The 14,013-nt window shown below is 37.6% G+C and overlaps 1 long non-coding RNA gene across 2 annotated transcripts in view; it reads right to left on the bottom strand.

Annotated features, from left to right (window-relative positions):
• Positions 1 to 231: 231 nt before the first annotated feature.
• The window catches only part of LOC105375861 (uncharacterized), a 69,653-nt gene continuing 55,871 nt past the window's right edge, over positions 232 to 14,013 (bottom strand). For both annotated transcript variants that reach the window (XR_001745714.3, XR_007060918.1), the window contains one exon: positions 232 to 893. This is a non-coding gene — a long non-coding RNA (uncharacterized LOC105375861). The remainder of the gene's footprint in view (positions 894 to 14,013) is intronic.

The raw sequence follows: 14,013 nt of genomic DNA, 5'->3' as shown, positions 1-14,013 counted from the left end.
TATGCTAAATGCTAACACACAGCCCTGTACCCAATAATATGAGACAGGAGAAAGGAATAAAAAAGGAGAATGAGGGTGGGGTGGGGTGGGGTGGGGTGGTGGAGGAGGTAGGTAGTGGGTGAAGGAGATAAAATAGACAAGACACATGGCACCTTCACCCACCAGAAGGCTAACTCTGCCATCCCTCAGGGCTTCCTTCAGGTGCATAAGTGCTGCAAAAGACCTTTGGCTTCGCAAGGTAAACCACATAAACATTCTCCTTGAGGAACTGGAGAATGCAGAGCACTTGGTTTTTCTGCATAAACAGTTTCTTGCTTTGTGTTCATTTCAAACAGGTGCAGTTTGTAAAACCATACAATACATGAGAACAGGAATTTGCAGATCAGAAAGTGTAGTTAGGGGGTCATGTCATTAAAACCACGTATTGAAATGGACATTGTCAGATTATTTTTTAAGTAAAAAGGATTCTAAAGTAAGTAACAGGTTATACATTCATGGCATCATTTCATAGCAAGAGCAGCTCTTGCAACACACACTTTTGCAAACCTGGGTTGCTGGGAATTGGACCAAACAGATGACCAATTGCTTTAATCCAGACTCACCTGTTTTCATCATGCCACTCTCATGCATTTGTTTTTCCATTAAACAAATATTTATCATGTGTGTATGTGATGGGGATTCGTTATCCAATAAGAAAATTTCAGATCCCAGATGTAGAGAAAGATGCAGACAAACAACCAGATCCTCACAGAATAATGAGATCAATGTCCCATCGTGGATGCATTTCATGAAGAGCAAGGGAGGGAGGCTTGATGTGGATATCGGTAGTAAATAATAGATGTAGAGCTCCGATGGCCTCTGAAACGGAACTGTAGGAGTAGTGGATGTGGCCACTATAAACATCAGAAATTGATTGAAAAAGTAAATTGTAAATGAAGGGTGACAAAAATAATGCAATACATTTATCTCTACTATAAAAAAAAAGTTGACTAGGGACAATTATGACAAAGGCAGAAGTTGGTATTGAGTTGATGCAAAACAAAAACAAAAACAAAAAGTCTTCTAACTAATCCAACAAAAAAGCTCTTGATTTTGAAGAATGCCATTTGTTTAAGGTCCCCTTCACCTAGGCCTCACTGTCTCTATAGCACAAATGGTTCTTCCAAGGCTAAAAGTAAGTAAAACTCAGGTGATCATGATCAGGTGAGGGAATTAAAAAATGCCTTGTAAGGATAGTGACCTTTGAGCTGGACCTTAACCAACATGTAGGCTTTTAACGGATGAAGATCAAATGAGGCCAGGAGAGACTCTTCAAATGGAGGACAACCTGAGCAAGGAGAGAGGGCAAAGGCCGAAGTTGGATTTAGGAAACATCAGGAAGCCTGATTGTCCGTAGCAGAGAATTCAAGATGGCAAATGTTGGATATTAAGGTTGGAAAAGGAGGTTTCTAACATATTTGGGCCATCTTAAATTTACTAGAAATTAGGGCCACCGAGGACAGTATAAATGCGTAAATATATGCATATTTCAAAAAAAATTCTTTTAATAATGGTGAAAGTTTCATTCAATAAATTTAAATAGAAAAATTTTGTCCAAAATTATTATTCACATTCTCCTTAATAAACCCTCCAAATATTACTGATGCTGAGGTATACCTTTTTTTAGTGTTTTTCTGCACCTATATAACACTGCAGATTGTAAACATTCTGTGGATGTTTATGCTGCTTTTTTTTGAACTCAAATAAGACTTTGCCAATGCCTTTTTATTTTTAATGTGTCTTCTTGTTATACAAGCATCATAATTATTGGATAAATAAAACAGTTTCCTTATTATTCTGTTGTTGACTATTTAGGCTCTTGTTTTTTTTACTTTTAGTACTATACACAACTTTTAAATGAATGTTTTGTGTCTACTGTTCCCCTCATCTTGTTTCCTTGTGTGATTGTTAGGTACAAGATTTTACTTATTCTACTCTATTCCTCTTTTCTAGCCACACAAGTACCTCAGGCCTTTGCGCTCTTTATATAATACACATTTTCTCCAAGTCTATAATATTTGTTAAAAATAATTTTGGTCAGTTAACTTTTGCCCTTCTAAAAGGTACAAAAGAACAATTATATTTTGTGGGAGTTATTTGTTATTAGAGAATTTGAAAATACCATTTTCCATAGGCTAGAAGCCTTTTACAGATTATCTTAATAATTGTATTAATTTATATCTTAATTTTCATTTATTCAGTCTATTTTTAGTACATTTTAATAATTTATATGGTAGTGTAGACTCTAGAATCAAAGAGCCCTCTATTTGAAAGTAAAATCTGCTTTGTGCTAGATATATGACCTTGGGAAATTTATTTAACCCCATTAAGCCTAAATGTTTTAGTCTATAGATTAGACTACTATTACCTAACTCACAATATGATTGTGAAAATTAGATGATATCCGAATATAAAGATTAGTTATTAGTAGTAATGTTTAATTTGCATTTTCTAAATCTGTTTGCAATTTATAATCAAAATCACTAATTCAATAAGTATTTATTGATTATATGTCATGTATTGTTATGTAAGCTGCTGAGACATAAGTTAGATCGCATGTTAGTGAAGACCAACAGACCAACTTGTACACAAACAGTGGGTGACCTCAATTTATGGCAATATGAAATATTAAAAGCATAAAAATCCTCCTGCTACAAAACACCTAGAAATCCTGAATTTATAGAAAAGTAAACCAAATCCATAGAAATCAAAATAAAGGGAGATCTAAGTGGATAACTATTTGCTGCTCTAACAGGGTGTTATCTCTCTTAGTAACCAGGACTTTGGGTTATAGGACCATTCATAGATAGGAGATGGGGCATTGGGCCTAAAGGAGGTAGGGTATTGGGATGAAACACCAACATAAGGTTGGGAATTCTTGTATGTTTTATTTCTCAGCTATAGGGTAGACCTGGCCTGGCAAGGTGGCTCGTGCCTGTAATCCCAACACTGGGATGCTGAGGCTGGTGGATCACCTGAGGTCAGGAGTTGGAGACCAGCCTCACCAACATAGTGAAACCCCGTCTCTACTAAAAATACAAAAATCAGCTGGGCGTGGTGGTGCATGCCTATAGTCCCAGATACTCAGGAGGCTGAGGCAGGAGAATTGCTTGAACTTGGGAAGCGATGGTTGCAGTGAGAGGAGGTCGTGCCACTGCACTCCAGCCTGGGTGACAGAGTGAGACTCTGTCTAAACAAACAAAAAATAGGCCTGAAAAATGATTGGCTACCACACCAGGCTGATGAAAACTGAGCTATTGGCCTGATCATGGAGATGAGGTAAGAAGAAATAAATTAGCCTATTTTAACTAAGATTTGGGTAAGACTTATACTATCTGTTTGATGTTAAAGATCTTGTGCTGAGAAGGACTTTTAAAAAGCACTTAAAAATATTCCAAGCTAAAAATAACCTTGGGACATGAGGTTGAAATAAAGGAAAATCTGTCTGGCACAAAATATCCTCAGCCTAGGACTATCTAAATATGAGTTTACAACACACAATTACAATTCTACAAGGAAGCAATACACCATGAGTGAGTGTCATCAAGCACAGTACACAATCAAATTCAGTCTGGAGGAACTGAGATAAAAGTTTAGATAGCATTTTAAAAATAATTGAAGGTATAAAAGATAAAGTCAAAAGATGAGAAAGTAACAAGACAAGCAAATTTCCCTAACATTTTATTATAAGAATTTTCAAGTGTAGAGAAAGTTACAAGATTTTATGTAGAATACCTAAAACTATGCTATAGTTAACATTTTGTTACATTAGCTTAAAAACATCTTAAAATGATAGACAAATTTATATATCAATTTATCTTATTTCGTGATGTTTTTAAATTGAGTTGCAGATATCAGTATGTTTCATGCCTAAACAATTCAACATATTATTATTAACTACATTTGTACATATTATTAACTACATTTGTTAACTGTATTGAAAGATTACATTAACTATACCCATTTTCATAAATAACATTAAATATATTATAAATAAAAATATTTGTTTATGATTTTTGAAGTAAAAATTACATATATTAGAATTAACAAATTTTAAGTGCATCATTTAATATGTTTGATAGATGCATACACCTGTGTAACTCAAACCCCTATCAAGATACAGAACATTTCTATGACTTCATACCCCTTCTAGCCAGTAATACCTTCTGACTCTACATCTAGCAACCACTGCTTTTTCCTTGTAGAAAAATTCTGCTTATTCCAAACATTCATAAAGATGGAATCTTTAGGTTTGTACTCCTTCATGTAGATTACTTTCACACAGCATAGTTTTGAGATTCATCTATTTTATATTAAAATACCAAGATTCATTTATCTACTCTCTTATTAATGGACATTGGGTTTTTTCCAGATTTTGGCTGCTATGAATATTCTTGTACAAGTCTTTTTGTGGATATAGATTTTCATTTTTTTCTGGGTAAATATGCAGGAGTAGAACAGCTAGGGCAAAGGGTTTGTTTAGTTTTGGAAGAAATTTCTAAGCCTTCTCCTCAATTAAGTTTCCCTAGAGTATATAGAGACATGATAAGGTGGATTAAAAAGTTTAAAATATATCTAGTACAGGTTACAGAGAGATTGGAGAGAATTAGTATTTAAGGCATGAATTTTTCCTATATTTCTGAACAACATGGGATTTTCACATTCAGGAAACCTAATGAGTCCTAAACAAGATAAGTAGAACTAAATCCACACAGTCAAATCATAGGAAAAATGTATAACATCAAAGGCAAAGACAAGACTTTTAAAAGCAAAGACAAAGAAACAACACAAACTGATATGTGACTTCTGAGCAGTGATAAGGGAAACCTGTAGAGAATGGAACATTGCTAAAGCACTGAGAGAAACTAATGGCCAAATTAGAATTGTACACTCAGGTAAACTTTCATCAAAAGATGAATATGAGGTAAAGACAATGAAGATATCTTCAGATTAACAAACATGAGCTAGAGAGAGAGAGAGAGAAGAGAGAGGGAGAGTTTATTACTCTCAGACTCTTGCAGAAAGTATTACTAGAAGACATTATTCAGGAAGAAGAAAACTGGAACAAGAAGAAAGGAACACTGAATAAATAACTTGACAGACTTGAGCAAAATCAAGCCTGTGTAGTATACTGTCATAAATATCGTGATGGTGAAGAGCATGGATTCTGATGCTAGACTGGGTTTGAATCCTGTTTCTGCCACTTACTAGCTGTGTTATGTAGTCAATTAACTTCTCCCATTCTAGGTTTTTCTCACTCGAATGAGGACTCAAGGAGTTAACATTTGTTATGTGTTTAGAACAGTATCTGGTACATAGTTAACGATATATAAATATTTGTTAAATAACACTTAAGGAGAAGTTTTACTAGTTAGCAACAATGTATTGTTTATTTAAAAGTAGCTAGAAGAAAGAACTTGAAATGTTCCCAACACATAGAAATGATAAACACTCAAGATAGTCATCACACATTCTATGCATGTAACACATACTCACATGTACTTCATAAACATGTAAAATATTATGTATCAATAAAGTAAAATTAAAAAAATAAATACCTGATGGGTAATAATATGATCTTTAAGAAGCATAATTATAGGCCGGGCGTGGTGGCTCACGCCTGTAATCCCAGCACTTTGGGAGGCCAAGGCGGGTGGATCACCTGAGGTTAGGAGTTCAAGACCAGCCTGGCCAACATGGTGAAACCCCGTCTCTACTAAAAATACAAAAATTAGCCAGGTGTGGTGGCATGCGCCTGTAGTCCCAGCTACTAGGAAGGCACGAGAATCGCTTGAACCTGGGAAGTGGAGGTTGCAGTGAGCCGTGATCATGCCACTGCACTCCCACTCCAGCCTGGGTAACAGAGTGAGACTACATCTAAAAAAAAAGCATAATTACAAAGCTTGATGTAATGAACATTCTCAAAAATCAGTGGTGAAAAAAAGAAACAGTATTATGTGTCATATGTAAATGCCAATTATATAGGACAATAGTTTTACAGATGAAGTTGGAGAGTCTTTTTAATACAAGTTAGAAATAAAATTTATAAAAATTGTAAGTGAAAATATTAACAAAACTTACCATATAAAAATTTAAAAAATTATGTCCATGAAGGCCACATAAGAAAAAAAAGTCAAAGACTGCCAGAAGATATTGACAGAATATATAAATTCATGGATTACTACCCGGGAAATAAAAAGGCCTCTTTCAAATCAGTAAGCAAAAATCAAACAACTACATTAAAAAGTTGGCAAAGGATAGAAAATAGGTTACTCACAGAATAGGAAATGCAATTGGCCAATAAACCAGTGAAAAGTTGCTCAGCCTTAATAATTCTTATAGAAATGAAAATAAAAATAACCATGAAATACAATTTCATATTCATCACTTTGAAAAAAAAAATCAGCTCTACAGTCCAAAGAACTGACAAGTATGTGAAGCAATGGGGAGTCTTATATACTGCTAGTGTACTGCTAGTGCACACTAAGCAAGATCTGATAATGCTCTGAGATTTAGTATGCAATCCAGGGGCACTCACAAAAGCAGACCCAAACATAAAAAGGTGTTATTTCAACATTCTTTGGAAGAATGAAATACTGGATCCAACCAAAATATCCATCAGTAGAAGAGAAAATACATTGTGCATAGTAATACAGTGGAACAGTAATTAAAGTGAGTGAAGCAGAACTACATCATGGATTATATGTCAAAACAAAATGCAGATTAAAAAGGAGCAAGATGTGGCCGGGCATGGTGGCTCACGCCTGTAATCCCAGCATTTTGGGAGGCCGAGGTGGGCGGATCACCTGAGATCAGGAGTTTGAGACCAGCATGACAAATATGATGAAACCCCGTCTCTACTTAAAAGAAAAAAAACAAAAATTAACTGGGCATGCTGGCATGTTCCTGTAATCCCAGCTACTTGGGAGGCTGGGACAGGAGAATCGCTTGAACCCGGGAGGCAGAGGTTGCAGTGAGCCGAGATCGCGCCATTGCACTCCAGTCTGGGCAACAAGAGTGAAATTCCGTTTCAAAAAAAAAAAAAAAAAGATTAAGATGCAAAAGTATCCATATAGTATACTGGTAATATGAAGGTACAAGCATGTAAACTTGCCTGATTATTTTATACGTGAGTATGAAGGCTAAAGTGTGAGGACACACACGGTAAAAGTAAACATCACCGTAGGACTTGGGGTCAGGGAGATGTACTCAGGAGGTCTCAGCTATATTTGTGAGTGGTAGCTTCCTGGGTTGTTGTTACTTATTTCCTTTACTTTTCAAAAAGCAAAAATATTTCATCATAAAACGACAGAAGCTCCTTTCTCTGAAATAGTTGCAACAGTTTGGTAATTGCTGTAACAGCGTTGTATACAGAAAGCAGGAAACCGCTGCTTAGCACTTCGAAGGTTTCTGAGAAGCGGACTGTGCAGCTGACCTGCAAGATGGATGAGGTTGTCTGGGCAGTGAGGGAATTCCAGCAGAAGAAGGCCACAGCCAAAGTAGCTGGAGCATGACAACACTTGATGTGAATGGAAACCAATGTCAGTAATTCAGTGTGGCTGGAGCACATACCAAGATCAAAACCATTTAAATACATGCAGGGTTGTGAGGTGCTTCAGAAGGCAGAATCTGCACCATCTGGATTCAAATCCTGGCTCTGCCTTTTATACCATCTAACCAGAAACTAGTTATTTAATCTCCCTGTGCCTCTGTTTCTTCATCTTTGAAATGGGGCTGCATAGACAATATTTATTGTTAGGTGACATTGTGGCTGTGATGATGATGAATGCTTGCAGCAATTCACCTGCTCCTACAGGCACACACTAAGTTTTGTGGATTCTCCATATGAATATTTCTAACATGACTCCCTTCCACTCCATGTCAAGTCCTCTGCTTCAATTCATTTGTCTTTCTCAGGATGATTTGCAGTGCCTACAAAATCAAGCAGGGAGTCTTCAGCACCCCATGGCAGGCCTTCCCTGCCCCAGGCTTGCTCTGCTGATCTGGGGTGCCATCGCAAGTGATATGTATGCATCCCATGACTCCACACTCTGGCACATATCATGTGCTTGGTGCAGCATAAAAATTTGGCACAGAGAAAGATAATAGAAAACAAAAGGGAAGTCTTTTATTTTTGTTTGCTTATATGCCTCTTCACTAGATTTAACTCTTTTCCTCTCTCTTCACCCTCTTGTTTTTGTACTTATTATTTCTAGTTTAGTGCAGTTTTCTTGCCCCATATCTGGAGTTGGTACTAAGAATTGGTATCTCTCCTTTCCCTGTCTCATCATTTTGACTTAGGAGGTAGAATGTGCATCAGCTATTAATGTCATTTTTTCATCTCCTCCCATTGACATTCTGCAACCCTTCCTTGACTCTGATGTAAGCTCATTGGATTGTCAACTTTCACTTGTATGCTTTCTTGGATATCAAAAGAGATCTGATCTGGATGAGGCATTTCTTTGAATTCGTTAATTCATCTGCATTCTAATCTAGAAGTTCCATTGAAGGCGTTGTTTTTTAAAAAGAAGTGACATAGTATGTACTCAGTTTAGTATGTGCTGGTAGAAATATGAATTATGGACAGAATGGAATAAAGCCAGAGACAGGGAAGGTAGCTGGCATTATTGGGAAGAATAGGCCAGGATTAAGGGCCTGAGCTAGATAGAGAGCAGAGCAATCATAGGGAAAGAATGAACACCAAATACATTTGTAGGGTAGAATCCACTGCACTGGAAACCAGGTGGATTTGGCTGGATCATGATGAACATTCAACAGATCAGTAAAAGGAATGGTCTCACATTTTTCACCTGGCTGACTGAGACACTAGTCTCTTTCCAGAGCTAGGAAACACGTGATGACACAAAGATGAGTTCAATTATGCACATGCTGAATTTAGGTGCCAGTAACATAAGTCCTCACCAAATATCATCCATAGGTTCTTGGAAACTGTGACTTCAGGTGGAATTACTATAATGAAATCAATTCTACCATAGACTAGTTGATATGAACAAGAGTTAAGTTCCTATGACATATTCCTAGTAACAAAACCATCACCAAACATGTAAATCAATACTCAAAACCCTTCTAACATTAACTTTTGAAATAACTGTGTATTATATATACATTTAAGAAAGATTAATAAAAACAAATAAGATAATGACTTATTCAATTTTTGGCAAATCAGTGAGTTATGGTGGTCATAGCAGTGGTGGGGTTAAATCAAGGAATAACAAGAGAAGGATATTGAACATTCCCAACATAAAAAATAGTAAGTGTTTGAGAAGATGGATATGCTAATTACTCTGGTCTAATCACTATACATTATATGTATTGAAACATCACTATATACCCCAAGAATATGTACGATTATTATTTTCAATTAAAAAATTAAAAAAGGAATAAATATTTTCGAGGAGAAAATTTTCAGGAGCACCTCCTCCCACCACACAGTTCAAAACCAATTCATCACAAACATGGCAGGCTCACTGAGTACTTTCCTCTTGCATTGTTTATTGTTATGCATCTGTATGATTCTCATAGACTTTAAGATTTTTATTTTATAATAATTTGTATTAATTCATTTTCCAACATGCTTATTCCAGTTCAGGGTGTCAGGTAGCTGGGGCCGATCCTGGCAGCTCAGGGCACAAGGCGGAACCAACCATGGACAGGAAGCTGTTCCATCACAGGATGCACTCAACACACACCCATATGTACTCACACCGGGACCATGCAGACAAATCAATGAACCTAATGGGCCCCCATATGCACTCATGCTGGGACCTTGCAGGCACACCAATAAACCTAATGGGCACAGCTTTGGGATGTGAGAGGAAACTGGAGGACCCAGAGAAAAATCCATGCAGAAGTGCAGAGAACATGCAAACTGCATTCAGACAGTGGCTCCGGACAGGAATTGGATTTTTTCCCCATCAAAATTATAATGAAAGCACATTGAATGAAACAATGTTATTCGAGAACCTGCTTCATACAGAATCTATCTACTTTAGTATATTTCTTTCATATTTCTGGAATGGGATTTCCTCTACTATTTGAGAATTCTTTAAATATAATTATAGATTACCCTAATTAATGTAATTATTCTCTTCAAGCAATCACTTGTGCATTTAAAAACATGTATTTTTGTTTATCCAAAGACCATAGTAATAATACAGTGGTAAAGGCACTATGGGCATTGATTTGTATACATTTAGGTGATATGCTATTTTTCATGTGCTCAGCCACTCCATTCTTTGGCGAGAACAAAGCTATTGGCAGTACTTTTTATTTGTGACCGTATGTCATGAAATAGTGAGCGATTCCTGCCAATGGGAAAATGAGACACTGCTAAATATTACCCAATGTGTTAGGTAGTTTTCAAGGAGGACCATCAACTTCTTCCCTCACTATGCTCTCCTGCTATTCCTCCAATCAAAGGTGGAATCTGTTTTCCCCTTCCCTTGAATTTGGAGTGCCCTTGTCACTTGCTTTGGCCAATACCACGTGGCAGATGTGAAGCTGTGCAGCTCCAGACCTAGCCCTTTAAGCGTTTGGAAAGTTCTGCTTTTGTTCTTCAGGAACCCAGCTGCCATGCTGTAGGAAGGCCCAGACGATGTTTCTGGAGAGAGAGTCCACTTGAAGAAGCTGTGGAGGGAAAGATGCCACATAGAGGGGACCCCAGTCTTCTTGGGCCTCGTAGCCCATGGGTGACAGCAGGCTACATCAAATGGAGCCAAAGATTCACCCAGCTCACAGAGAATCCAGTTAAATTGTCCACATGGTTTTAAGCCACTAAGCTTTGGGAAGATTTGTTACACAGCAATAGGTGACTGAGACACTCAGGTAGTTTGTATGCTCATCACTGAGAGACCAGAAAATGATAAACTGTGTGCAGACGTTTATAGGGATACTTTCTCTCACTTCTCTAACATTATCTTTATTCTACTTGTCTGCATCTATCAGGTTTTCATTTTTTTCACTTTCTTATATTTCTTTTTATTTATATATTTTAATTTTAATTGGTAAAATTATATATATTTACTGTGTAAAAGATGAGGTTTTGATATATGTATACGTTGTGGATTGGCTGACTCAAGCTAATTCACATATGCATTACCTCAGATACATACAGATCTTGTATTTTCTGATGAGAACACATAAAATCTACACTCTTAGTAATTTTCAATTTTAAAATATATTTTTATTAACCATAGTCAGCATTATGTACAATAGATCTTTTGAGCTTGTTTCTGATGTCTGAATGGAATTATCAAATTTTAATTTTATTCCACTTCCAAAGGTGTGTTCCCATATCTGGGTTTATTTTTGAATATATAAATTCCCACTTTTTAGTTTGAAATTATTCTGTTTCACGCCTGCTTGAATAAGTATGATCTTCAGGGGAAAAACTCTGCTCTGAGAGCCTAAGAACAATTGTATTGCTTGTAGATTCTAGCCATGTGATGTTTTTAGAGGTATATGCATGGCACTGAACTCATAGCATTCATTGGGATTAAAATTGTTAGGATTTAATGACGATCTCTTTAAAACATTTATTTGGTAAAATCTGCAGGTTTGGGGGACCAATATAATAGCAGAATAATTGCTAAGTCACTGTGAAGGCATTGCTCTATTTAATGTGTGCAATTTTGCACAAGCCAAGTGGAACTAATCAAAATATTGAAGGTAAGTTCTTGCTGCCAGCACTCCCTCAACATTTACCAGTCTAGCTGTTTACAAGGCCAAAAATATGACTTTATATACCATGAGTGAATTGGTTTTTTTTTTATAATAAACTGTGGCTGAAATTAAGCAATAATTCCTTCTAAAGCGAACTATTAGATAGTGATGTTTCAGCTCTTCAGTTCTTACTGCACCTGCCACTGGTCCATCAGGGGTAACACAGGCATAGGCTTAAGCCTCCCCACCATTTTTTAACCCATTTTCGATATCTTTGTTTTTACACACACACAGTCTCTCTGTGTGTATGTCAGAGCCTCTGTGTGAAGAGTGGTCTGGCTTCCTCTTTGCTGTCCCATCCCTGTGCCTGCTCCTCCTAGCTAGGGCTGACCCTGCACAGGTGCACAGCGACTCGAAGGGGTCACCCTCCTATTAATGCTAGTGCTTGCCAGCCTCGCCCTGCCCTGCCCCACTAAAGCTCATGTTCCAATGTTCTTCCTCAATCTGCCCTTTCTCTTCCAGGACACTATTGGCCCTCCCACCAAAACTCAGCTGTCCTTCAGAGCCTGGTTCTCTGACGGTGGGTGGTCCCCTGATCTAATTACCTGATCCAAGAAAATGGGTTAGCCTAGACGAGGGTTCCTAAGGATGGAATTTTTAGGAGTCTGTTTAGTCCACTGGAAAAATATTTTTTGACAACATGCTATTTTTCTTCTCTTAAAGCACAATTATTTGTGGTTTTGTAAACTGGGACTACCACAGTTTATAGACAGACTCATCTGGAGCTTTAGGAATTTCCTCAGCTATGTCTTGAACACAGTAGTGATCTCAGAGGTAAGAGCGAATGCTCAGCAACAGTGAGAAAAATCTGTCAAAATCATGTTGGTGGTTCTCATATATCAGGCCAGAATCACCATCACAGCCAGGGATGTAGATTCAGGCACAGGATGATGGTGTAGCTAGCAGCCATGAGTCCAGGTATCCACAGGGCAGAGTGGATTGAGTGAGGGGGATGGAAGAGGCAAGGCGGGATGGGCTTGAGCACGGGGCACGTCAGGTACAAACATGAATGGGGTCTCAGTTGCTTTACTATTAGAGACAGAGGTCCAGTTGTATTATTATCTATCGCCCCACATCCTCAGAAGAGAAGGGCTTGTATTTCAACACACTTTGTTGAAAATGATAACAAAGTGTAATATGTTTTTACAAAGATTTTATCTTAAGTGTTAACACTTAAACACACACACTTTGTTTTTACAGTAAGAGATAGAACTTGTGTTATTTAAAGAAGTTACTTACAAAGAACAGATCACTGCCTAAAACTGGACATGCCCATGTGCACCCCTTGTGCACTGCACAAGTGCACACACGTCAATCTATATTCTGACAAGGAAATATGTTTGCTGGATCTTGAGCATTTCGTTTGGAGCAGCTTCATTTCTCTTCCCATTTATCTTGGGGATTATACTACTTTGACTTCCAATTCACAGTTTCTAGTGACCGTTTAACCACTAGCTGCTACCTGTCTGTGCTTTTTGGTGTCCCTTTACCCTGTCCTTTAATCCTACGCCCCTCACACACAGACCACCTGGCTGGGTCCTCTGCCTCTCTGTCCAGATGTGTCAGTGGAAGGGGGCTGTCACTCCATATTATGATGGCCTAATTCAGTGGGATACAATGCACACTGGCACCTGCGGCCAGCTGGCCTGGGTGAGGCAGGGTGGAGGGGTACATGTGGAAGAAGGGGCAGCGGCCAAAACCAGCAAGAGCTGGAGCTGCAGGCACTGGATAAAGCCTTCAGGTAGCTAATAGCAAAAATTGGTGTTTTCAATTTTATGTCTTTATTTTTCCTCTTAAGAACAAAACAAACGTTCAGCATCATTAATATCATGTAAGGTAAAGGTTGAGTTAAAAGAGTCTGGAAGATGGGCAATAAATCTTATGTTCAGAATTGTTTTTTCAACCACTGATGTGGCTACGCACATTTAATAATGAACTGCTGGGAAAAGTGTTTTGATAATCTTAAACAGGAGAGTAATTATACTGCAATTATTGTGCATTTTTCTACAAATGATCATCTTGATTTGAAATATGCTACTAAGTGAAATTTACTGATGTATATTTCTTTGTATTATATCCCCGAGATACTTAGAGAAAAAAAATGACATTTTTAAAAGATTCTGGATTTTTGGAAATGTTGTCCATCATATCCTGTGGAGGGTTGGGGAGGAAGCCAGACCTATTGGATGGGGAGCCTGAACCCTCAGATAAGTTCATCAGGCAGCTCTGAGC

Source organism: Homo sapiens, chromosome 8 (assembly GCF_000001405.40).
Source record: "Homo sapiens chromosome 8, GRCh38.p14 Primary Assembly".
In the NCBI taxonomy this organism is placed as follows: Eukaryota; Metazoa; Chordata; class Mammalia; order Primates; family Hominidae; genus Homo; species Homo sapiens.
This window is presented reverse-complemented; position numbering and strand designations above follow the sequence as displayed.